The sequence below is a fragment of the Homo sapiens genome, chromosome 11, assembly GCF_000001405.40.
Source record: "Homo sapiens chromosome 11, GRCh38.p14 Primary Assembly".
NCBI lineage: Eukaryota > Metazoa > Chordata > Mammalia > Primates > Hominidae > Homo > Homo sapiens.
The window spans coordinates 77,768,568-77,795,442 of record NC_000011.10 but is presented as its reverse complement, the minus strand read 5'-3'; the positions used below and the strand labels follow the sequence as shown (position 1 = coordinate 77,795,442).

General features: G+C 40.3%; 1 protein-coding gene and 1 pseudogene across 3 annotated transcripts in view, besides 1 other annotated feature; one reads left to right on the top strand and one right to left on the bottom strand.

The window, feature by feature from the left end:
• RSF1 (remodeling and spacing factor 1) overlaps positions 1–26,875 on the top strand; it is a 212,224-nt gene that overhangs the window by 76,790 nt on the left and 108,559 nt on the right. The window lies entirely within an intron of this gene.
• Positions 10,633–26,346, bottom strand: LOC124902804 (UPF0764 protein C16orf89-like; annotated as a pseudogene).
• Positions 15,203–15,403: a silencer, noted in NCBI's record as "peak1365 fragment used in MPRA reporter construct". NCBI's record gives its function as "represses an SCP1 promoter by STARR-seq MPRAs in K562 erythroleukemia cells {active_cell/tissue: K562}" and the evidence as "EXISTENCE:reporter gene assay evidence [ECO:0000049][PMID:32103011]".

Sequence of the window (26,875 nt, the reverse complement as noted above, 5' to 3'; positions counted from 1 at the left end):
CCAGCTTTGTTGACAGCTGTCTCTCTGTTTGGATCCTTTTGCTCAGGATTGCTTTGGCTGTTCTGCAGGGTTTTTTTGTTTGTTTCATGTGATTTCAGCATTGTGTTTTCTAGTTCTATGAAAACTGATCTTAGTATTTTCATAGGAATTGCATTGAATCTGTAGATTGCTTTGAGCAGTATGGTCATTTTATTGATATTCTTTTAATCAATGAACATGTGATGTCTTTCCATTTGTTTTTGTCCTCTTCAGTTTCTTTCAGTCAGTGTTTTATAGTTTTGCTTGTAGAGATCTTTTACCTTCTTGTTTAAATGTATTTGTAGGTATTTCATTTTTTTTTGTAGTTATTGCAAATGGGATTGCCTTCTTGATTCCTTTTTCGCTCTTGCGTTATTGGTGTATAAAAATGCTACTGATTTTTATATGTTGATTTTTGTCTCTTGCGGCATTACTGAATGTTCTAAGAGGTATTTGGTAAAATCTTTAGGTTTTTCTAATTACAGGGTCATATCATCTGCAGAGAGGGAAAGTTTGACCTCCTTCTTTCCAATTTGGATACCTTTCCTTTCTTTCTCTTGCCTTACTGCTTTAGCTAGGACTTCCAGTACTATGTTGATTTAGGAGTGCTGAAAGTATTCATCCTTGTCTTTCTTGTTTCAGTTCTTAGAGGAAAGTTTTTCAACTTGTACATATTCAGTATGATGTTAGCTGTGGGTTTGTTATCTATGGGCTTTGTTATTTTGAGGTATATTCCTTCTATGCCTAGTTTGTTGAGAGTTTTTATCATGAAGAGATTGATAATTTGTTTCAAGGAAGTTTTTGACCTCCATCTTACTTCATTGACCCGGTGGTTGTTCAGGAACATGTTTGATTTCCATGTGTTTGTATGTTTTTTTTTAATCTTTTATTTATTTATTTTTTATTTATAGACAGGGTTTCACTATTTTGCCCGGGCTTGTCTTGAACTCCTGGGCTCAAGTAATCCTCCCACCTTGTCCTTGCAAAGTGCGGGGATTACAGGCATGAGCCACCAGAGCCTGGCCCCATGTATTTGTATGGTTTCTAAAGTTCCTCTTGGTATTTGTTTCTCATTTTATTCCATTGTGGACTGAGAAGATACTTAGATGATTTCGATTTCTTAAAATTAATTGAGACTTCTTTTGTGGACTAACACTTCCTGGAAGATGTTCCACGTGCTGATGAGAAGAAGGTATTGTGCAGTTAGTTAGAATGTTCAGTAGGTATGTATCTGTAAGGTCCATTTGGTGCAAAGTCCCTTTTAAATCCATGTTTGTTGATTTTCTGTCTAGAGAATCTGTCTTATCCCCTTCAACAGTGGAATGTTGAAGTCCCTCACTGTTATTATACTGGAGTCTGTCTCTCTGTTTAGATCTAGTAATATTTTCTTTGTGAACTTGTGTGCTCCAGTGTTGAGTGCATATATGTTTAGAATTGTTATATCCTTTTGCTGGATTCATCCCTTTATCATTGTATAATGACCTTCATCATCTTTTTTTTTATTACCTTTTTTGACTTAAAGTTGTTTTTATGTATAGCTACCCCTGAGAGCTTGTTTGGAGGTTCTATCAGGAGAGCGCAGCTACTCTTACACCCTTGATGGAAGACCGGTCCTCCTCTATTGGGGATGGTTGTCTTCTTCGACCAAGTGCCCAGCTTCTGGAGGGACGCACATGGAGCCAGTGAGGGAGGTAGGGGATACCTGCCTAGCCAGCCAGATCAACTGAATCAATCCTGGCGATCAGTGGAGTGACAGATGTCGCAGCCAGATCACCCTCACATCCATATCTGATATATGTTTAGCTACTTCTGCTCACTTTTGGTTTTCATCTGTGTGGAATATCTTTCCACCTCTTTTAGTCTATATGTGTCTTTACTGGTGAAGTGTTTTTTCTAGGCATCATATAGTTGGATCATATTTCTTGTTTTTTCTTTTTTTTTGAGGGAAGATCTCTCCTGTCACCCAGGCTGGAAGTACAGTGGCATGATCACGGCTTACTGCAGCCTTAAATTCCTGGACTTAAGCAATCTTCTGCCTTAGCCTCCTGAGTAGCTGAGACTACAGGTGCAGGCCACCACGCCTGGCTAATTTTAAATTTTTTTCTTTTGTAGAGATGAGGGCTTGCTATGTAGACAAGGCTGGTTTCGAACTCCTGACCTAAAGTGATCCTCTCACCTTGGCCTCTTAAAGTGCTGGGATTACAGGCGTGAGCCACTGCACCTGGCCAGATCATGTTTCTTTATCCATTCAGCCAGTTTGTATCTTTCAAGTGGAGACAGATTCATTTACATTCAAGGTTATTATTGATATGTGATGTTTTGTTCCTGTCATATTGTTGTTTTCTGCTTGTTGTATGTATTTCTTTCTTCTTTTCTTTTTCTTGTTTATCTTTGTGATTTACAGGTTTTAATGTCGTGGTACCTTTTGAGTCCTTTCTCTTCCTCATTTGTATGTTTACCCATGAATTTTATACTTTTGTGTGTTTTCACAATGGTAAATATCATCCTTTGACTTCCAGGTTTAGTACTCCTTTGAGCATTTCTTGTAGGTCTGGTCTAATGGTAATGAATTCCCTTTAATGGTGATGAATTTTCTTAACTTTTGCTTGTCAGGGAAAGATTTTTCTCACTTACAAAGGGTAATTTTGGTAGGTATAGTATCTTGATTGGCAGTTTTTTTTTTTTTTCAGACCTTTGAATATGTCATTACATTCTCTCCTGGCCGGTAAAGTTTCTGCTGAGATTCTGAGCATATATGATAATGTAATCTCTGTATGATTTCTTTGGCTCTAAACAACGTCAGGGGTACCTGTTTTGTCCTTGACAGCTTAGGGTCTGGTTATTAGTAGAGGCTGTGGTGAAGTGTTCCTGGGGACTGGGTTGCTAGCTGGGCTAGTCTTCTGTCCCCAGTGGTGGGATTTATGGGCTGAGCATACCTGTCTTTGGTCCCAGGGTGACGTACACCAGCACCAGTGTTAGCCAGGTACAGACAGGCCGATTCTTGGGCCTCCAGCTGGCCTACTCAGATGCCAGTAGGGCAGCATGGGCTGGGAGAGTGGGGGTGGGTTCTTGGGCTTGGATATGGTTTGGCTGTGTCCCCACCCAAATCTCATCTTGAATTCCCATGTGTTGTGGGAGGGACTTGGTGGGAGGTAATTGAATCATGGGGGCAGGTCTTTCTGGTGCTGTCCTCGTGATAATGAGTAAGTCTCATGAGATCTGATGGTTACTATAAGGGGGAGTTTCCCTGCACAAGCTCTCTCTGCCTGCCACCATCCACATAGTGTGTGAGTTGCTCCTCCTTGCCTTCTGCCATGATTGTGAAGCCTCCCCAGCCATGTGGAACTGCAAATGCAATAAACCTCTTTCTTTTGTAAATTGCCCAGTCTTGGGTGTGTCTTTATCAGCAGCATGACAACAGAGTAATACAGTAACTTGGTACCAGTAGAGTGGGGTGTTGCTGAAAAGATACCTGAAAATGTGGAAACGACTTTGGAACTGGGTAACAGGCAGAGGTTGGAACATTTGGAGGGCTCAAAGGAAAACAGGAAAATGTAGGAAAGTTTAGAACTTCCTAGAGACTTGATGAATGGCTTTGACCAAAAGCCTGATAGCGATATGGACAATAAGATCCAGGCTGAGGTGGTCTCAGACGGAGAAGAGGAACTTGCTGGGAACTGAAACAATGATGATTCTTGTTATGTTTTAGCAAAGAGACTGGCGACATTTTCCCCTGCCCTAGAGATTTGTGGAACTTTGAACTTTAGAGAAATGATTTAGGGTATCTGGCGGAAGAAATTTCTAAGCAGCAAAACATTCGAGATGTAACTTGGGTGCTATTAAAGGCATTCAGTTTTATAAGGGAAGCACCACATAAAAGTTTGGAAAATTTGCATCCTGACAATAGAAAAGAAAAACCCATTTTCTAAGGAGAAATTGAAGTCTGCTGCATAAATTTGCACAAGTAAGGAGGGGCCAAATGTTAATCCCCAAGACAATGGGGAAAATGTCTCCAGGGCATGTCGGAGGTCTTCACGGCATCCCATCCCAGCACTGGCCCAGAGTCCCCATGCTGTGTGCAGTCTAGGGGCTTGGTGCTCTGCATCCCAGCCACTCCAGCCATGACTAAAAGGGGCCAAGTTACAGCTTGGGCTGTTGCTTCAGAGGGTGGAAGCCTCAAGCCTTGGCAACTTCCATTTGGTGTTGAGCCTGTGGGTGCACAGAAGTCAAGAATTGAGGTTTGGGAACCTCCACCTAGATTTCAGAAGATGTATGGAAATACCTAGATACCCAGGGAGAAGTTTGCTGCAGGGGCAGGGTCCTCATGGAGTGGGTGGAGAACCTCTGCTAGGGCAGTGCAGAAGGGAAATGTGGAGCTGAAACCCCTACACAGATCCCCTACCTGGGGCACTGCCTAGTGGAGCTGTGAGAAGAGGGCCACCATCCTCCAGATCCCAGAATGGTAGATCCACTGAGAGCTTGCACCATGTGCCTGGAAAAGCCGCAGACAGTCAACACTAGCCCATGAAAGCAGCCAGGAGGGAGGAGGCTATACCCTCCAAAGCCACAGGGGCGGAGCTGCCCAAGACCATGGGAACCCATCTTTTGCATCAGCGTGACCTGTATATGAGACCTGGAGTCACTGGAGGTCATTTTGGAGCTTTAAGATTTGACTGTCCCACTGGATTTCGGACTTTCAAGAGGCCTGTAGCCCCTTTGTTTTGGTCAGTGTCTCCCATTTGGAATGGCTGTATTTATCAACTTCCTGCACCCCCATTGTATCTAGGAAGTAACTAACTTGCTTTTGATTTTACAGACTCATAGGCAGAAGGGACTTGCCTTGTCTCAGATGAGACTTTGGACTGTGGACTCCTGACTTAATACTGAAATGAGTTAAGACTTTGGGGGACTGTTGGGAAGGCATGTTTGGTTTTGAAATGTGAGGACATGAGATTTGGGAGGGGCCGGGGCAGGATGATATGGCTTGGCTGTGTCCCCACCCAGATCTCATCTTGAATTACCATGTGTTGTGGGAGGGACCCTGTGGGGGTAATTGAAACATGAGGGCAGGTCTTTCTCATGCTGTCCTCATGATAATAACTAAGTCTCATGAGAGTTGATAGTTATTTTAAGGGGTAGTTTTCCTGCACAAGCTCTCTTTGCCTGCCACCATCCATGTAAGATGTGACTTGCTCCTCCTTGCCTTCTACCATGATTGTGAAGCCTCCCTAGCCATGTGGAACTATAAGTCCAATAAACCTTTCTTTTGTAAATTGTCCAGTCTCAGGTATGTCTTTATCAGCAGTGTGAAAATGGATTCATACAGTAAATCAACATGAAAATGGACTAATACAGGCTCTTAGGCAGTCAGCATGGCATGGTTGATGGCAGTGGCAGGACTGCCTTCTTAGTCCTGAGCAGTGTGTACTGGTGTTGGCGGTGGCTGTGATAGACTGGGCCAGCCACTCCCAAGGCCTGCAGGTGGCGTCTGCAGGTAGGTTACAGCTGTGGTGGCAGCTGCGGGTAGACAGGCCCAACCTCAGGCCGCTGGGAGGTGTGCTCACATACCAACAGTGGTGGGCTGAGCAGTCCCCTGTTTCCAGAATGTGTGTCTGGGATGGTGTGAATGGGGGTGAAGCTGGGCCAGAAGGGCTTATCCTCAGGCTCCCTGTTGGTGTGTGCAGGTACAATCAGTAGTGGGCAGGTGCGGGGCATTCCCCAGGCCCTGGGCAGAGTAATTGACTTGGGGACCATCAGGGATGTGTTGGGGCCCTGCCACTGTGGAGGGTGGAGCTGCCTTCTATGGTAGTAGCTTAGACTGGTGGGTGGGGAACACACGCTCTGCTCACATCTCAGCTCCTGATCAGTCTGGGGGTGCTCGCGCCTCAGCTGTGGCCATAGTGGCCTGCCACTTGCTCATGCTTCAACCCTGACAGAGGTAGCCTGTGCCTTGCTTGTGCCTCAGCCCCGGCGGCAGTAGTCCATGCATCACTTGAGTCTCAGCCCTGGTGGCACTGGGCCCCAGGACAATGGGCAGTCTGTTGGGGACAGGACTCTAAAATGGCACCTTGCTATAGCTGCCTAGGTCTCAGGGAATCTGTGGAACCCAGGACAAGCTCCCTCCCTGGAGCTGCATCTTCATACAATCTCCCGACAGCTTCCTTTGTTAGTTTCAGGACCTGTGAGAGTTGAGGCCCTCTCCCGTGGCTAGCTAGAATTGCAGAAATCCACGGTGGGAACATGGACCGCTGAGCTCTCACTTTTCCTTTTAACACATTGGGGAGTTTCTCCTGGCTCCCATTTGATGGGGGTTGAGCAGGTTGCCTTCTTTCTCCTTCCTTGCCGTAGATGTTTCCTGTCATTTTTCTGTTGAATTCCAGTGTTCTGTTTTTTTTAATGTTTTTAAAAATTAGTTTTTTGAGATAAGGTCTTGCTTTTTGACCCAGGCTGGTCTCCAACTCTTGGCCTCAGTAATCCTCCCATCTCACCCTCACAAGTAGCTGGAACTATGGCCACATGCCTCTCTTTTCCTGGCATCTATCTCTTGGGTGATCTATTCAAAGTGTCATTATCTACTCACTATTTTGGTTGTTCTTAGTAGAGGAGGCCTCTAGTTAGCAATCTTAAAGTCTCTCCCTTGTTGTCTTTTAAGGTGAAAGCTTTGGTCATAGATTTAAGACTTTTCTTTGTTTCTAATGAATTTTTAGCTTTGTAATTTTTTTTCCTTTTTGTTTAACTGTATCCACTGGGATTTGTAGCATATAAATTTTTCTACAAATACTGCTTTAGATGCATGCCACGACTGTTATTTTCATTATATTGGATACCTTTTTCACTAGACTAAGGCAGTTTTTTTTCCTCTGTATCATTTTGTTTAGTTTTCATTGTTACATTTTTAAGTTCGCTAGTCTTTTTTTTTTTTTTTTTAACCTGTCTTCTCTACCTTTTATCCCATTCAGTATCAGACTTTAGAATTTCCCTTTCTAGAATTTTTGTTTGGGTCTTTTTTTATATTAACCTTATCTCACTCAACATGTTTTCAGTTTTTCCTCTAGGTTCTTGAACATATGGATTATAGTCATAGTCATATAAGAACTTTTCATGTCTTTTTCTACTGATTCTATTACCAGTAATTTCTGGGTCAGGTTTGATTTTTTTTGTTGTTTTTGTTTTTCTCACTTTGGGTTGAATTTTTCTGCTTCCTTTGCATGCCCGGTAATATTTTACTTTTTTTTTTTTACCCCTAATTTTTTTTTTTTTTTTTTTTTTTTTTTTTTTTTTTGAGATAGTGTCTCACTCTGGTTGCCCAGGTTAGACTACAGTGGTGTGATCTTGGCTCACTGCAGCCTTGACCTTCCTGACTCAAGTGATTCTCCTACCTCAGCCTCCCGAGTAGTTACTATTACAGGCGTACACCTCCATACCTGACAAATATTTTTTGTATTTTTTTGTATTTTTAGTAGAGACGGGGTTTCACTGTGTTGCCCAGACTCGTCTCAAACTCCTGGACTCAAGCAGTTGCCTGTCTAGGCCTCCCATAGTGCTGGGATTACAGGTGTGAGTCACAGCACTCGAACTTTTTTTTTTTTTTACTGTTCTGAAGGTACATTAGCAATGCCTGGTAAGTTTTTAGTAGATACTAAACTCTGAATTTTACTATGCTAGATGCTGGATATTTTTATATTCCTATGATATTCTTGATATTTGTTCTGCATTATGATTAAGTTGATTGGAAAGAGATTGATTATTTAGCATCTTGATTTTTAAGCTTTGTTAAGTGGGACTGGATATGCGTTTAGTCTAGTTTTTATTTTTTTCATATTAAGGCAAGACCTATTTTTCTGTAAAGACCCAGATAGTACGTATTTTAGGCTTTGTGGGCTCTACAGTTTGTGTGTCAGCTATCTCTCTCTTCTACTGTAGTGTAAAAGCAACCATAAATGGTATTTAAATGAATAAACATGGTTGTGAACTTTATTTTTAGATACTATAATTTAAATTTTATGTAGTTTTAAATTGTCATGAAATGTTCTTTTTTTTACCTTTTTCAGCCATTTAATAATGTAAAAGTCATTCTTAGTTCTTGGGCTATACAAAAATAGGTGCTGAACCACATTTGATCTGTAGGATATAATTTGCTGACCCCCTGTTGCTTTAACCAGTGTTAGCCAAAAGATGAGCTTTTCCATTCTTGCTGTTGGGGGGCAGGCCTTGTTCATAGACCTGTGTGGGTGTTGGGTGCTATTCCCTTTATTTCTTTGGAGCAGTTCTATCCCTGACCTTGGGTAATTTCCCCGGGTACATGCCCTGCTCAGTCCTTTGCTAAAGACTCAGAGGGACTCTGCAAATTTCCAGAGTACTCTCTGCAGCTCTCTTCTCTGACACTTTTCTCTGTTAATTCTACCTTTGCCTTCTTGACTCTTAACCTCATCTCTCTAAGGGAGATTGCCAGGTTTTTGATTGATCCTCCCTGTTTGCCTCTTTACCCAGTTTGTAAATTGGGGTAGTTATAGGGTTTATCTCTGTTTTGCATCTCTCATGTATCACTATTCATAGTCTTTTGTTACTCGTATAATGTCTTGAGTGTCTAGTTTCATATATTTTTGTTGTCGTTTAGTTGTTTCAGTCAGGTAAACTTTGTCCTTATTACTCCATATTTGTTGGAAACACAAGAACAGTACTTTTTTTTCTTTTTTACTGTATTTTAAGAGATTTGGGCAGGAGGGTGAGCCCACCATCTTGATGTAATATGCCTCCACCATTATAGTTTTAGGAGAATTAAAATTATGGGGATCTTTTATTCCCCACTGTATATTGAGTGTCTACTGTATGCTAACCCCTTCTCTAAACCTTGTGACTAAAACTTTAATGGAACATACATTCTAGTGGTCTCAACAACAGATCATAATATAATGTTGAACTATATGAAATAGGAAATATATGTGTTCCTTGGGGTACTCCTGGCTTGAGTGAAAAGGTGTCCAAGGCTCCAGCCATTTTAAATATTTTTAAATGCCAATTTTAAATTTAAATAAATAATACATTTATTTACCAAAATTGGGTAATTTTTTATTCGCGTGCTGATCAGATATTCTGAATGATAAGTTAACAATAATCTTGCTAAGCACAACATAGGATACTTTAATAAATTCAGTTTGGTAGACTAAATCTCTTAATATACATAGTATTTGTGGGGATAAATTAATGGGAAGCATGATGGTACGTAGTAAATGTCAGGATTTTTAGTATTAGCTGGGTTGAAATCTTAGCCTTGCCACTTGATATTTGTGTGACCTGGCAATTTATTAACTTCAGAGTTTCTTCATAATGGAGACAGTAATATCCTCCTATAAAGTTTTAAGGATCTTTTGCCTTATGGAAATGTTAAAATCCACTATACGATATGATATGCAGATGTTTCTTTTTAGAGTTCATAGTTCATGTTTAACAAATAGATCTACGTATAATTCTTTTTTTTTTTTTTTTTTTTTTTTTTTTTGAGACAGAATCTCACTCTGTCGCCCAGGTTGGAGTGCAGTGGCGCGATCTCGGCTCGCTGCAAGCTCTGCCTCCCAGGTTCACGCCATTCTCCTGCCTCAGCCTCCCGAGTAGCTGGGACTACAGGTGCCCGCCGCCATGCCAGGCTAATTTTTTTGTATTTTTTTTTTTTCAGTAGAGACGGGGTTTCACCGTGATCCACCTGCCTCGGCCTCCCAGAGTGCTGGGATTACAGGCGTAAGCCACTGTGCCTGTCCAATTTGCTCTTTTAAAAATTCATATCATCTGCTCAAGTACACATCTTTAATTCTTTAATGTTGCTTTTCTTTTTTTTTTGAGATGGAGTTTCGCTCTTGTTGCCTGGGCTGGAGTGCAATGGCATGAGCTCGGCTCACTGCAACCTCCGCCTCCCAGGTTCAAGCAATTCTCCTGCCTCAGCCTCCTAAGTAGCTGGGATTACAGGTGTATGCCACCACGGCTGGCTAATTTTTGTATTTTTAGTAGAGACACAGTTTCACCATGTTGGCGAGGCTGGTCTCAAACTCCTGATCTCAGGTGATCCACCCACCTCAGCCTCCCAAAGTGTTGGGATTACAGGCATGAGCCACTGTGCCCAGCCAATGTTGCTTTAAAAATTGAGAATTCTCTCTGGACATGATGGAGTAATAAGGGGCTTTTACCCACTTGTCATAAACAGCTAGTAAACTGGATCAAGATACATGAACCATCTCTTTTTAGATATTGTACTAAGGCAAATCAGGATTGTTTTCCCTGGGTGATGGGTGAAATAAAAGAAGTGAGCCCTATACCACTACCAGGGTTTCCTGCCTGGAAGCAGCTTTAGGACCGCAGAAACAGAGAGAGAGAATCTAATGAGTCTGGCAGCTTCACTCAGTTGAGGAGGCAAAGATTGGATTTCAAGAGGCTTAGGCAGCTAGAAGTTGCAGGGCCAGGTTCTGAAAAGAAGAGGGCTATGCAGAAGACAGAATTTCAGAAATCTGTACATGGGCTACCTTGAGTCTTTGCTGAAGACTAGGTCGTATATGCAAACAGTGAAAATCCACAACGCTAGGCACTGAACATCCAGGTTATTACTAGCCAAACATTTCCTAGAACTTACACTGGAGATGTTTGAACTCTGACCAGAGTGAAATATTCTTTGTAGCACTCAGGGCATTCAATGGAGAACCCAATTGATTCATTGTAGTAAACCTGACAGAAAAGGCCTTAAAAAGATAAGATGAATCTGCAAATAAATACCTGCCAAAACAAAGCCCAACTGATTTTTACAGCACATTGCAAAATCTTAACAGCACATCTTAGCAGCGCTTAGCAGCATGGTAACATTGATATTTTCCAACATCCAAGCTTAATTTACTCAATATGGCTCAAATTACTAGCTGTGCTGAGAAACTGGTCTAACTCTTAACCAGGAGAAAAATGAACCCAAAGAAGCAGATTCAGAAATGATGGAGATACTAGATCTAGCAGACAAGGACAGTAAAATAAGTATTATAATTAGTAAAAGTATTTAAAGAAAAATATGAACATAATGAAAGAAATGAAAGATAAGAAAAATAAACATATAGAACTTCTAGAGATTAAAAAAATAATAGTATCTTAAATAAATTACTGAAAGGCATTTCACAGAAGATTGGATGCTGCAGAACAAACTAGTGAACTTGAAGACATGTCAGTAGACTTTATCCTAAAATGAAGCAGTGAGAAAGAGAACTGAAAATAATCAAGTGCTTCACTGGTCTGTGGAATAGTATCAAGCAGCCTCCATAAAGTGTATTTGAGATCCTAGAAGGAGGATGGAGCCAAGAATATTGGAAGAATAATGAATGCAAAATTTCAAATTTGATGAAAATTATAAACCCACAAACCCAATAATCTCAACAAACCTAAAGTACGACAAACACAGACAAACATTTACAGACATTTGTATGTTTGTCCTTTGCCAGAAAGCAGTGACAGAATCTTAAAGGCAACCTAAGAAAAAGACATATTATATACAGAGGAACAAAGAAGACGTTTTGTTGGAAACTATACAAACTAGGCGATAAGTAACTTTTTTTTTTTGAAATCGGGTCTTGCTCTGTCACCCAGGCTGGAGTGCAGTGGAGTAAACATGGCTCACTGCAGCCTCAACTTCCTGGGCTCAAGCGATCCTCCCAGTTCAGCCTCCTGAGTAGCTGGGACTCCTGACGCACACCATTATGCCTGGCTAATTTTTTAATTTTTTGTAGAGACTAGGTCTCGCTGTGTTGCCCAGGCTGGTCTCAAACTCCTGGGCTCAAGCAATCCGCCCGCCTCAGCCTCCTAAAGCGCTGGGATTACAGGTGTGAGCCACTGCACCCGGCTGATAATGGATGTTACAAAAGTACTAAATGAAAGGTATTAGATGAAAACTTCTATATCTAGCAAAATATCCTTCAAAAATTAGGGTGAAATAAAAACTTTTTCAGACAGGTAAAACCAGAGAATATGTTATGAGCTAGCCACTTGCACTACAAGAAACATCTTCGGATGAAAACTTGGACCTAGACAAAGTGATGACAAGTGGAAGAAAGGATAAATATGTTAAAATTAAATTTTTCCCAATTTTAAAAAAGTCTTTTTAAAAGGTAATTAGCCATTTGAAGCAAAAATCACCATGTATTGCAAATTTCACAATATATGAGGAAGTGAAACATGAAAGCTCTAGTACTAAGGATGAGAACAAGGAATTGCAAATATAATGTAAGGGTAAAAAGTGTTCATGTTGTATGTGAGGTGGTAGAATATTATTTAATAGTAGACTGTATTGAGTTAAAGATGCTTTGTTTTGTAAAACCTGAAGCAACCACAAAAACTTAAAGAAGTGTAATTAATTAGCTAAGAGTAGATGTTAAATGAAGTTCATTTTAATCAAGTTAATTCAAAAGAAGACATTAAAAGGAGTAAGAAAGGAACAAATAAATGTATATGAACAAAATAATAGATTTTAACTCAGTTATATCAGTTATTGCATTAAACAAATAATTTTAGTTTGGGGTTAGCCAAGTTTTTCTGTAAAGAGTCAGACATTAAAGAATATTTTAATTTTAGGCTTTGTGATCATCAATAGTGTCTGTTAAAAGTGTTTAATTCTGCTCTTGAGGCACAAAATTAGCCATAGAAATTACATTTTTTGTGTTCCAATAAAACGTTACAGACACTAAGATTTGAATTTCATGTTGTTGTGTGTCAAAATATTATGTTTTCTTTGATTTTTTTTTCCCCTCTACCCTATTTTCAAATGTAGAAACATTGTTAGTTGCAGGCACCACTAAAGCAGGTAATATGCTGCATACAGCCCTTGTGGGCAGTAGTTTGCTAATCCTTGTTCTTTTTTTTTTTTTGAGACGGATTCTCGCCCTGTGGCCCAGGCTGGAGTTCAGTGGCACGATCTCTGCTCACTGCAACTTCCACCTCCTGGATTTATGCGATTCTCCTGCCTTAGCCTCCTGAGTAGCTGGGACTACAGGTGCGCGCCACCACACCTGGCTAAGTTTTGTATATTTAGTAGAGACGGGGTTTTGCCATGTTGGCCTGGCTGGTCTCCAGCTCCTGACCAAAAGTGATCTGCCTGCCTCAGCCTCCCAAAGTGTTGGGATTACAGGCGTGAGCCACCACTTCTGGCCTCGTGAGCCACCACTTCTGGCCTAATCCTTGTTCTAAACCTGCTGTCTCCAATATGTCACCACTAAGCCACATGTGGTATTGTAATTAAAATTAAATGAGATTGGTAGAGTGGATAGAAAAGAAAGACCCAGGTATATGCTGTCTATAGAAATTCACTTCAAACATAAAGATATAGGTTAAAAGTAAAAGGATGGAAAATGATACTCAAAACTCATCATAAGAAAGCTGGAATTACTATATTAATATCAGAAAATGAGACAGCTATATTACTATAGCCAACTAAAATGCAAAGACTAATGACTATATTAGTATCTGAAAATGAAAAAGAATATTAGAAATAGATAGGAGTGTTTCATAATGCTGTTCATTAGGAAGATACAATTCTGACAGTATTTTTACTAATAGCAGAGCTTTAAAACACATGAAGCAAAAACTGACAACTTAAAAAACATATACAATGCAGTTATAACTGGAAATTTCAACACTTCCCTCTCAGTAGTCAATAGTGCAACTAGACAAAATCATTCGGAATATAGAAGACATGAACAATATTGTCAATAAATGATATTATTGATATTTCCAGAACACTATCCAACAAAGAAAAAAACATTCTTTAAAAATGACTGACACCTCAAGTGTTTTTGAGGATGTGAAACAGTTGGAACTCTTAGACAATAATAAATGGTACAACTTACATTGGCAAAATGTTTGGGAGTTTCTTATTAGGTTAAACCTGTCTCTACCACACAACTCATGAGCTCCACTGCTGTCTACTCAAGAGAAATAAAAATGTATGTCTATACAAAGACTTGCACAGAAATATTCATAGCAGCTTTATTTATAATAGTCAAAACACGGAGGCCAGGCACAGTGGCTCACATCTGTAATTCTAACATTTTGCAAGGCTGAGGTGGGCAGAACACTTGAGGTCAGAAGTTCGAGACCAGTCTGGCCAACATGGTGACACCCCATCTCTATTAAAAATACAAAAATTAGCTGGGCATGGTGGCACATGCCTGTAATCCCAGGTACTCGGGGCTGAGGCAGGAGAATTGTATGAACCCAGGAGGTGAAGGTTGCAATGAGCCGAAATCGAGCCACTGCACTCCAGCCTGTGTGACAGAGTGAGATTCTCTCTCTCTCAAAAAAAAAAGACAATTCAAACATTCATCAGCCAATGATTGGATGACCAAATTTTTATAAATTCATACAAAGGGACACTGACGTTAAAAAATGTGTATCTCAGAAACATCATGTGAAGCAAAAAAGCCAGACAAAAAGAGTTCGTATTATATGAAACTCTACAAAAGGCAAATCTGTAGTATGGAAAACAGATCAATGGTTTCCTGAGGCCAGAAGTGGGGTGACTGACTGCAAAGTGGAGCATGGGAGAACCATTTATTTAGTCATAGTCTCTTTTTTTTTTTTTTTTTGAGACGGAGTCTCGCTCTGTCACCCAGGCTGTAGTGCAGTGGCATGATCTTGGCTCACTGCAACTTCTGCTTCCTGGGTTCAAGCCATTCTCCTGCTTCAGCCTCCCGAGTAGCAGGGACTACCAGCATGTGCCACCACACGCGGCTAATTTTTGTATTTTTAGTAGAGACAGGTTTCACCATGTTGGCCAGGCTTGTCTCAAACTCCTGACCTCCAGTGATTCGCCCACCTTGGCTTCCCAAAGTGCTGGGATTACAGGTGTGAGCCACAGCACCCGGCCCATAGTCTCTCTTCTGTTTTGTTTTTTATTATCTTAGGTAGCCTGCCTTTTGTCATCTATTAATTAGCAAGCTCACTAAACTTCCTAAAACTTCAGTTTTCATAAAAGCCAGTTTATGCTTGTCCACCTGTAAGTTGATGGCATGGAATGGTTGATTGCACATCCTGAAGACAGATATTTTATTTTACATGTTTCCTTAATGGATTTAGAAATTTGTTCCTTTTTTCTGTTTGGTTCTTTAAGTATGAGCAAGAAACATGTATTATTGTTTGCTAATCAGTTAGTTACTTGGGTTAGAAGTTGATGTTTATCAAAAAGTTACTTGGTTTTTTTAAAGACCAAACCCATTGAATTGAACAAGTCTTTATGGAATGCATGGTATGTGCTAGCCACTGTCCTAGGTGCTGAAGATATAGGCCTGTTTAATGTGGGATAGAGCTAAGTAAACAGGCATTTATGATACAATGTGATGCATAAGTACAAGTTAGGATCATTTGGGAACACCCAGCATTGGCACTTAGTCTGGATTAAGTGGGATAAAAAGATGATTTCCAAAGGAAGCAACATCTAAATTGAACCCCATGATGGGAGGGGATGGAGTGAGAATAGAGGGAACTGTACATGCTAAGCCCTAGAGGCTAGAAATAGCATGGTATGTTTGGGAACTCCAAGAAGTTCAGTATGACAGATTTGTTGAGCCAGTAAACAAAAACTGGCAACTCATTACTCTGGACTTCTCATTACATGAGAAAAACTAACCTTTTATTTGTAAAGCCACTCTAGTAAGGTTTTCTGTTACCTGAACAAATCTTTAACCAGCACAGCAAGACAATAGTATATTTAAGCAGCCCGTGTCTAGAAAGAATTTTAAGAGGCCAGGTGTGGTGGTTCACACCTGTAATCCCAGGCTGAGGTGGGCAGATCACCTGAGGTCAAGAGTTCGAGACCAGCCTGACCAACATGGAGAAACCCCATCTCTACTAAAACTACAAAATTAGCCAGGCGTGGTGGCGCATGCCTGTAATCCCAGCTACTTGGGAGGCTGAGGCAGGAGAATGGCTTGAACCCAGGAGGCGGAGGTTGCAGTGAGCCAAGATCGCGCCATTGCACTCCAGCCTGGGCAACAAGAGTGAAACTCCATCTCAAAAAAAAAAAAAAATTTTTTTTAGAAATAGCAAGGCATAGTGGTGTGCCTATAGTCCTAGCTACTAGGGAGGCTAAGGCAGTAGGATCGCTTGAGCTCAGGAGTTGAAGGCTGCAGTGAGCTATGATCACACCACTTCACTCCAGCCTGAGTAACAGAGTGAGACTCTGTCTCTAAAAATAAATAAATGGCCTTTGGGAGGCCTAAGTGGGTGGATCACCTGAGGTCAGGAGTTTGAGACCAGCCTGGCCAACATGGTGAAACCGTGTCTCTACGAAAAATACAAAAATTAGCTGGGCATGGTGGTGCATGTCTGTAATCCCAGCTACTTGGGAGGCTCAGACATGAGATCGCTTGAACCTGGGAGGTGGATGCTGCAGTGAGCTGAGATAGTACCACTGCACTCCAGCCTGGTCAACAGAGTGAGACTCTGTCTCCAAAAAATGAATGAATGAAAAGATAAATTGAAACAAAAGGGTGGATCACATAACTTAGGGACTAAAGAAATGAAAATTCTAAAATGGAAATAACTAGCTTTCAGGGATAGACCAGAAACAGAGGGCTTGCAAAGGAATCCAAAAAAGGACAGAGAGAGAAGATAAATCAGAAAAGTGATGTCACAGAATGTCCACGTTTCAAGAAGGAAGATATGATCAACAGTGTCACATGTTCCCAAATTAAGACAAAGACTGAAGAGTCCATTTAGTCCTGGGCAACATAGTGAGACTCATCTCTGCTAAAAATTGTTAAAAATTAGCTGAGTGTGGTGGTGTGCCTATAGTCCAAGCTAATTGGTAGGCTGAGGTAGGAAGATCACTTGAGTGCAAGAGTTTGCCAAGAACTTTTTTCAGAAAGAGAGAAGAGGGAGCATATGTTAGAGGGGACTTTATCATGCTCTTAACATGGTAATAGTTGATTAAAAAAAGTTTCCACATGTTTGATAACCTTATATTATTATTGTTTGAGACCAACAGCAGTGTAAAAGATTTGTTCAGTGTCACATATAAATGAAAATACTTGTTAATTTCATGTTTTATGAGTTTTCAAGGGACCCAGTCTTAGTAAAACACCGCTAGGAACATTGTTTTTCTCTAAAGCCTGAAGGTATTTTTTCCCCTCCCCTCCCCCATCCTCTCCCCTTCCCTCCCCCATGCTCTCCCCTTCCCTCCCCCACCCCCTCCCCTCCCCATCCTCTCCCCTTCCCTCCCCCACCCCTCCCCTCCACTCCCCCTCCATTCCCCCTTCCCTCCCCCCTCCACTCCCCTCCCCATCCTCTCCCCCTCCTCCCCTCCCCTTCCCAAGACAGGATCTGCCTGTATTGCCTAGGCTGCTCTCAAACTCTTGGTCTCAAGCCATCCTTATGCCTCAGCCTGCTGGGATTACAGGCATGAGCCACCATACCTGAAGTTTAAGATACTGTTTGTCTTATTTTCTGTTAGGTTAGATTTTATGCACATAAGAACTAGGTATTGAGATAATGATGCTTCTTTGCCAACAATGAAGAGTAGTAAGGATGTTAATTTTTCAATACAATGGAATAATTTTGCTTGCTTGTTTGTTCGTTCATTTGTTTGTTTGTTTGAGACAGGGTCTTGTTATGTGGCCCAGACTGGTCTTGAACTCCTGGGTTGATGCAGTCCTCCTGTCTGAGTCTCTCGAGTAGCTAGGATTACAGGTGTGTGCCACCTCACTCAGCACAACTCAGTTCTTTTGGTGGAACTCTTTTAAAAATGTCATTAAGGTCTCAGCTTTCCTGAACCTTTAAAAGGAAGTATTACTTTATTTATTTATTTTTTTATTTATTTTGAGACGGAGTTTCGCTCTTGTTGCCCAGGCTGGAGTGCAATGGTGCCATCTTGGCTCACCACAACCTCCACCTTCCAGGTTCAAGCGATTCTCCTTCCTCAGCCTCCCAAGTAGCTGAGACTACAGGCGCCCGCCACCACGCCTGGCTAATTTCTTATATTTTTATTAGCGACAGGGTTTCACCATGTTGACCAGGCTGGTCTCAAACTCCTGACCTCAGGGGATCCACCCGCTGCAGCCTCCAAAAGTGCTGGGATTACAGGCCTGAGCCACCTCGCCTGGCGGGGATTACTAATTTTGAAAATGTGGTAATAATGATATGGTTATTTAAAAATAATTATAGTTAATATCATAATGGTATTATGGTTATTTTCAAAGAGGTAATAATGGTATTATGGCAATTTTATCTTTTAGAGATACACACTGAAGTATTTATGGATGAAATAATGATATCTAGAATTTGCTTTAAAATGATCCATTGGAGAAGAAAAAAAGTCTTGTTCATTTATTTATAATTGTTTAAGTGAGGTGATGAGGTCATGAGGTTTTATTGTACTAGTCTGTCCTTTTGTTTGTTTTTTTAAAAAATGGTTTAGTGTCACCATTTTGCTGGGTAGAAGTTTTTCTATTTGTAGTTCAAGAAGTTCAGTGTGGAATGAGTGGTTTAATAATCTATATAGGATTGCCAGAAACACATTCATTGTTACCTTTTTATTTAATTACCAGTTTGCAAATGTTCACATAGAGAAAACAGTTCCTTTAGAAGTCTTCAGACTTCTAAACTTGTTTTTTATTGCTTGTGTTTGCTGGTGTTCCATTTGATTGTACTTAAAAATCACCAACATTTTATTCAGATACTCTAGTTTGCTTATTGATCATTTTTAGCAATTGGCTGGCTAGCCCTCAAATAAGGTGTCAGAATTTTTCTTTAAGTAAGACATGATCACCATCTGCTGGTGAATAGTGATAACTTTGGCTTGGGTATTGCTTTATGATATATAAAGTACATCATATACATTTTCTAATTTATTGAAATAACTAGAAACTATAATGAGCTCATTTCGTTCTGCTTTATGACAAAATCTCAGGAAACTATAAGATGACATAGTATGCTACTCATCTAGGTACCTCTGCTTGTCAAATGAATGTTAACTGAAAAAAGGTATGAGCTGATCACTTATTAGCAAGGAGTAAAGACAAAATATAAATTTCACAAAGAAATGGAGTTCTTACAGTATAAGTTTATAGTTCTGCAGAATTTTCTATAAAAGAAACATCTAACTGATGTTGTAACACCTAAAATTATGGTTTTGAATCATAAAGGAATCTTCTAATATGCTGTTGAAGGTTTTTTCCCCGTTTTTGTTTGTTTGTTTTTAGTGATACAGGGTCTCACTTTGGCACCCAGGCTGAAGTGCAGTTGGTGCAATCACTCACTACAGCCTTGAAGTCCTGGGCTCCAGCAGTCCTCCTCCCTCAGCAACCCAAGTAGCTAAGGAGGACTACAAGCACATGCTACCATGCCCAGCGTCTTTTTTGAGTGTTAATCCCAGCACTTTGGAAGGCTGAGCCCAGAGGATCACTTGAGTCCAGGAGATCAAGACTAGCCTGGGCAATAGTAAGGAAACCTGGACTCTACAGAAAAATTTAAAAATTAGTCAAGCATGGTGGGACATGCCTGTGGTCCCAGTTACATGAGAAAGCTGAGTAGGAGGATTGCTTGAGCCTAGGAGTTTGAGGCTGCAGTCAGTGAGCCCCGATCGTGCCACTGCACTTCAGCCTAGACAACAGAGCAAGACTCTGTGTTTAAACAAACAAACAAACAAAGAAACAGGGTCTCACTATTTCCCAGGCTGATGTTAAACTTCTGGCTTCCAGCTATCCTCCTTCCTCAGCCTCCCAAAGCATTGGGATTACAGGTGTGAACCACCGGACCTGGCCCTGCTCAAGTTTTAAATACCTATGGAATATACATGATGAGCATAGAAGCCTGGCGTTTTATAGAGGTCTGATACTAGAATATGCCTGTGTAAGTATTTCTTTAATTAAACATATGGACTTGGTTATTTACTCCTATATACAGATGTCCATGGGAGCATTCTCCTTTCCCTTTCCTCCCCTTAAAAGGGAGAGAAAAGCGGGGAAAAGACAACAATGAGCCCTCTTCGGTTAGTGATATCACCTGTTCGCTCCCACAGTGCTCTGAACAACCCAGAGTCATCTTTGCCATCTTTTTCATCTCTTCTGTATCACTTCCTGCATATTAATATATTCATTCAGATAATTTCTCTTTCACACCTACAGGGAACTCTCTTCAGTTTGTGTTTTGGGTTTTTTTTTTTTTTGAGATGGAGTCTCGCTGTTGTCCCCCAGGCTGGAATGCAAAGGTGCAATCTTGGCTCACTGCAACCTCTGCCTCCCGGGTTCAAGAGATTCTCCTGTCTCAGCCTCCTGAGTAGCTGGGATTACAGGTGCCCACGACCATGCCCAGCTAGTTTTTTTGTATTTTTAGTAGAAACAGGGTTTCACGGCCGGGCGCAGTGGCTCACGCCTGTAATCCCAGCACTTTGGGAGGCTGAGTTGGGCAGATCATGAGGTCAGGATTCGAGACCAGCCTGGCCAACATAGTGAAACCTCATCTGTACTAAAAATACAAAAAATTATACTGGCATGGTGGCGGGCGCCTGTAATCCTAGCTACTCGGGAGGCTGAGGCAGGAGAATCACTGGAACCCGGGAAGCAGAGGTTGCAGCAAGCCGAGATCATGCCATTGCACACCAGCCTGGGGTGACAGTGCAAGAGTCCGTCTCAAAAAAAAAAGAAAAAAAAGAAAGAAGCAGGGTTTCACCATGTTGGCCAGGCTGGTCTTGAACTCCTGACCTCAGGTGATCTGCCTGCCTCTGCCTTCCAAAGTACTGGGATTACAGGCGTGAGCCACTGCAGCATCTGGCCTAGGAACTCTCTTTTCTTTATTTTATTTATTTATTTATTTATTTATTTATTTATTTATTTATTTATTTTTTGAGACAGAGTCTCGCTCTGTGGCCAGGCTGGAGTGCAGTGATGCAATCTCAGTTCACTGCAACCTCCACCTCCTGGGTTCAAGTGATTCTCCTGCCTCAGCCTCCCGAGTAGCTGGGACTACAGGTGCACACCACCATGCCTGGCTAATTTTTGTATTTTTTAGCTGGTCTCGAACTCCTGACCTCGTGATCTGCCTGCCCTGGCCTCCCAAAGTGCTGGGATTACAGGCGTGAGCTACCACGCCCAACCTGGAACTCTCTTTTCTAGCTGTCTGCAGAAATATTTTACATTGCTTACTCCCCCTCTCCCTGTTGCTTTCATTCTCTTTTTATTTTCTTGTCCCTGTTCCAGTTCATCAAATAATTGAGTGTCTACCATTAAGTAGGAACTGTGCTTGGTGCTGGGAATACAGTGATGAAAAAGGCAGGTGGCTGTGCTTATGGAGCTTACATCTAAGGGTGAGAGAGAAAGAAGAAGAGATAGAAGATAGATAATTAGGAATTGAGACTTAAAGATAATTAGGACTAAAGAAGTTAAAGAGCTTACCTTTATTTTCTTTCTCCTTTCCTGGTTTTACTTAGTTCATGTGTTCTGTATTCTTTTTTGTTGTTGTTGTCGATATTACACTGATAAGAACCGATACTACACTTGATCTTGGCCAGAAATCTAAGCAATTGTTTTCTCTTAATTATCAGCATTTGGGATAAATTTAAAACACTTTTTTAGCCAGTGTACTTGCCTTTTCTGCTTTAAATATTAAAATTACAAGATAATTTTTCCTATTCTAGTGAACATTATTGATAAAATTAGTTTTTGAGGGGTAACTGGGCAGTTTACAGCTTTGTGTGGGTTTCAGTGGGATAGAGCCGCTTTGTAGGTTAGGCATTGTCTATGATAGCATATTACATTTTGAGTAACAACACTTGCTTTTGAATTTTTAAAAATTATCACACCACTAAAGAGAAAAGTATAATTTAATTTTAAATTAATTTTTCTCTAGGAAGAGACATTAAATATAAAGGAATAAGATTTTGACAGGTAAGGTTAAGTTAGATTTAGAGGACCAGATTTAGATTTTTTTCCTCCAAGAACGAGTGTTTGCCCCCATTGAGCATATATACTATAGCAGACTCTGCTTTTTGTATTTAAAATTTTCCGAAATCAGTTTGGAAGTGGAATGGCTGCTTCAAAAATTTTGACTGTAAGAATAGATTGGGAAATAGTGTGGTGGTTGTGCAGTGCTGGGCATGTAATTGGCGCCACTGATTGTACACTAAAAAAAAAAATGATTAAAATGGCAAATTTCACAGTAAATATATTTTACCACCGTTAAATAAATAATGTAATACACTAAAAGCCATTGGATGGTACACTTTAAGTGGATGAGTTGTATGGTATGTGCATTACATCTCAATAATGCTGTTTTTTAAGAAAGGAAGAATGGATTGGAAGAAGTATTAATAATTTTTCTGTTTCCACAGTAACTATTTGACAGGGTTATGTTTTAGAAATGGATAATGCCTCAAGGTGCATAGACAGAAACAACCCAATATCAAAAACCAGATACAAAGCTGCGCAGAAAGTGGTTTGATTCATAAGTTAGGTCTTGTGAACTATTCCTTCATCCATTTGATACTTTGAGAAACATCGGAAAGAGCCCTGGAATGGAAGGCTAGATGTCTACGTTCTTCTTGGCCCTTTTTTTTTTTTTTTTTTTTTTTCCATCTTGGGCAACTCTTGTCACATCTCAGGTCTAAGTTTTCCAGTCTGAAAAGAGTGTGAATTAGATCATTGCTTCCAGTTCCAAAATTCTAAGATGGTATTATCAATTGTTGCCTTGTTATAAGGCAAATAAATAAATACCTCAATACCTAGACATAGACATTGAATATTAGAGCTGGAGGACTTTGGATCATCTCGTGTAATTCCTTCAATTATGAATGACAAATTCAATGTTTGCACCCCTCTCTCCTGACTTTCTAGTGCTTTTTGTAATATACATATAACATAGTTTTTAGTAATATAATAGTTGTTATATTAAGTGCAGGTTTTTAAGTGATATGTGACCTTTGAAATGATGAAAAGTATGAGAAACAGGCCAGGCGTGGTAGCTTACATGTGTAATCCCAGCACTTTGGGAGGCCAAGATGGGCGGATCGCTTGAGCCCCGGAGTTTGAGACCAGCCTGGCCAACATAGTGGGACCCTGTCTGTACACAAAAAAATTAGAAAATTTAGCCACATATGGTGGTGCCTACTTATAATCTCAACTACTCAGGAGGCTGAGGTAGAAGGATCAGTTGAGTCCAGGAGATCGAGGCTGCGGTGAGCCATGATGTGCCACTGCACTCCAGCCTGAGTGATGTGAGACCCTGTCTCAAAAAAAAAAAAGTGTCAGAAACAAAATGTACAAATACATTTATTTGACTTGAGTATTAAATGTCTGTGTGTACATATTGTCTTTCTGAAATATGGATGTGATTAAACTAAAAGTCATGATTTCTGCTTTTCAGAATGAATAAACTCATAGGGATCATCATACAGGACACATAAAGCAGTCACTTCTTTGGATTAAGATTGGCAAAGGTGCTTCTTAGAAAATGTTTTAACATTTTAGAAAAGTTCTAAATTTTTGCAATTTTCCTTCAGGGTACTTTCCTACATCTCTGCACCACAGCCTTAGTCCAAGCCATCATTATCTGATCTGAAGTATTGCGATGTCTTCCTAAATAGTCATATTTATACCCTCTCCAATTTGTTCCTCACAGTGCAGCCAAAGTAATCTCTATCCTATGGACATTTTTAAATTATGGAAAATGTGAAATATATAAAAGTAGTAAGTTATATAATGGACTTTCATGTGCCCGTCACTCAGCGTTAGTACAATTTTGTTTCTTCAGTAACTTCATCTACCTCTGCTTCCTGCCGCCTAGATTATTTCAAACAGATCCTGGATTTAAAAGAGTGATCTTTTAAAAACTTAAATCTTGAAACTTTCCTGCATTCCTCCTGTGGGGTCTCATTACCCTTAGAATAAAATCTAAACTCTTTACATAGCTCTAAGACTTGGCCTTTGCTCCCTTCTGTAGCAGCATCTTGTATCATTTTCTAGCCACATTGGAGGAAGCTGTTGGCCTCCTCAGGACTTTCATACATGCATTTCCTTTTGCCTGGCATGCTCCCTTCTTCCTTGGCTTAGTTGGCTGTTTCTTATCTTTACGGTGTCATCTTTATTAAAGAGGCATTTCCTGATGGTTTTAACCGTGTGTCACATGTTTCCCTTTCAATGACAAAAATGTTGACAAGTGGTGCATCTAGGTGAAGAGTGTACTAGTCTTTGAACTTTTCACTAGATTTGAAATTACTGGGCAGAGAAATTAGTTTGGGGGAAAAAATCCGTTCTTCCCCCTTAAGTACTGTCACGTCATTCTTTCTTTTTAAATTTGTTTTGACTCTTTCTGTCCCTTTCTTTCTTCCCCCCTTATTCCTCTCTATGATCGTTAAATTGAGTTAGAAAGAATAGAAAGAGGGGAAATGGGGTCATCTGATTGGAGCTGGAGACATCTGATACTAGAAGCCATTGCCCCAAGTACTACAAATTCCCTCTACCAGGATAGTGGTTATATAAGTATAAGCAGAGTATCCCTTTAAAGACTGACTGCTGTGTGGGTTACTCACTTCATCTTATAGAGGCCTTGTCTCTTCATAAGGAATCCTTCTTCAGGAAAGGTGGTTTCACAGGGTGCTGCAGTTTTACAGGGTTTCATTTCTCTTAATACTGTTCTTCTTTCTGGATTGCTGGTCTTATCACCACCTCAAGCCATGCTGATATTTGTAGTATGCTGATTACTTTCTTGGTAGCAGATAAAATTTTCTAGTTTTTGGTTCTGAAATAATCTGAGCCATGTTTGGTGTGTTTCTTTATGTATGTGGGAACAACAGTATGATTCTCAATGGAACTCAGAAAACTAAATTGGAACAGCAGATACCCCTTGGTTTATCTGCCTGTATAACAGTTATTCTTGGATTTATTTTTTTCCACAATGGTAATGAGGTGAGCATATACTTAGCTGGAATCTCTGTGCTATACTTTTGTTTTGTTTTGTTTTGTTTTTTGAGACGGAGTCTCACTCTGTCACCTAGGCTGGAGTGCAGTGGCACGATCTGGGCTCACTGCATCCTCCGCCTCCCAGGTTCAAGCAATTCTCAGCCTCCCGAGTAGCTGGGACTACAGGTGCACGCCACCACACCTGGCTAATTTTTTGTATTTTTAGTAGAGATGGGGTTTTACCGTGTTAGCCAGGGTGGTCTCGATCTCCTGACCTCGTGATCCACCCGCCTTGGCCTCCCAAAGTGCTGGGATTACAGGCACGAGCCACCACACCCAGCCTCTCTGTACTATACCTTTTTAGATGATCGTCTAAGTTACAGTTCATAGTCTTGAGCTGTTTCTTTGCTTTTCAGAAAACTAGGATGATTGATTAAATGAACTCTTTAAAGATAAGGTATATGAATACATGACAGTGATTTCAAGGATGAAGTGGCCTGTGGGATCAGTCTCATTATGCTAAAACTGCTCCCCCAAGAGAGTTTCTAAAAACTGGGCAGTAACTAAAAGCTTATTGTAAGCTTGTCTTTGAATCACTGTGTCTGAAATAAATGTTCTTTTATCAATGGCCTAGATAAAGTGTCAACTGTTTCCATAACTGTATCTCTGCTTATAAGCTTAAACTAAATTTAAGTAGAAGACTTTATTGAAGAATAAGAATTAATGTGTTTAGCCGTTATGAGGTGCTGTACATTTCTACCATTCAAAAAAGTAAAATTATAAGTAACACAATAGAATTGCAGGAGCAGTGACATTTTTAAGACATGGTGCTAGAAAGATGCTTAGAAAAATGTCAAAATATAAAACATCTTTGAGTAATTGGATCAGTAATGTAGTCTGGGATTCCACCACTTTTCTGCTACTTCATACCTACATCATGTTGGCAGCCCTTCATGAATTCACATAGCCCCTGACTGTTTCTTTCTCCTTCAGAGTCTTTCACCTCCTGAGGCCCTGTGAAAGAAGGGGGTTTGTTTATGAAATTTATCATGTGAAAAGGTAGAGGATATTTCAGTTCAATTAGGACAAAAACTATTTTTTGGATTGACTTGAAGTGGCTAATCAGTAAATCTTTAGAAAGAAGTTAATTATCTTCTGGAAATGAAACTGTTTTAGAAATCTTGCAGGTGATAAATAAATTTAGAGCTTGTCAGTGTTTTAGAAAATGATCATGTATTTAAAAAATATGATTGATGGCTGGGCACGGTGGCTCACACCTGTAATCCCAGTATTTTGGGAGGCCGAGGTGTGGTGGCACGTGCCTGTAGTCCCAGCTACTTGGGAGGCTGAGGCAGGAGAATCATTTGAACCCAGGAGGTGGAGGTTCTAGTGAGCTGAGATTGCGCCACTGCACTCCAGCCTGGGCGACAGAGCGAGACTCCATCTCAAAAAAATATATATATGATTGATACTTTACAGCTGTCCAAAGCCATAGCAACTTACTACGTGTTTATTAAAATTTAAGATAATTTAAAAATAAATAAAATTAAGAATTGAGTTCCTTAGTTTCATTAGCCACATTTCAGCTTCTCAGTAGACACATGTGGCTAATGGCTACTGCACTGAAAAGTGTAGATATAGAACATTTCGATCATCCTGGAGCAATCTATTTAATAGACAGTGCCGTTTTAAAGAATAAAAAGTATGGTGATTTTAATGTTTAATAAACTATAATGTTGATTAATTTTCCTGTAGCCTGTTTCTTATCAGTTGACAGATTATACTAGTGCACTTAAAGATTATCAGCTTGTCAGTTCTATTTGTAACAAAATATTAATTCAGTTGGGTTATAAATTTTAATTTTAAGCATGCTGGGTCTACACTATGCAGTGCTATCCAGTACAGTAGCCACTAGCCACATGTGGCTCTTGAGCACTTGAAATGTAGCTAGTTTG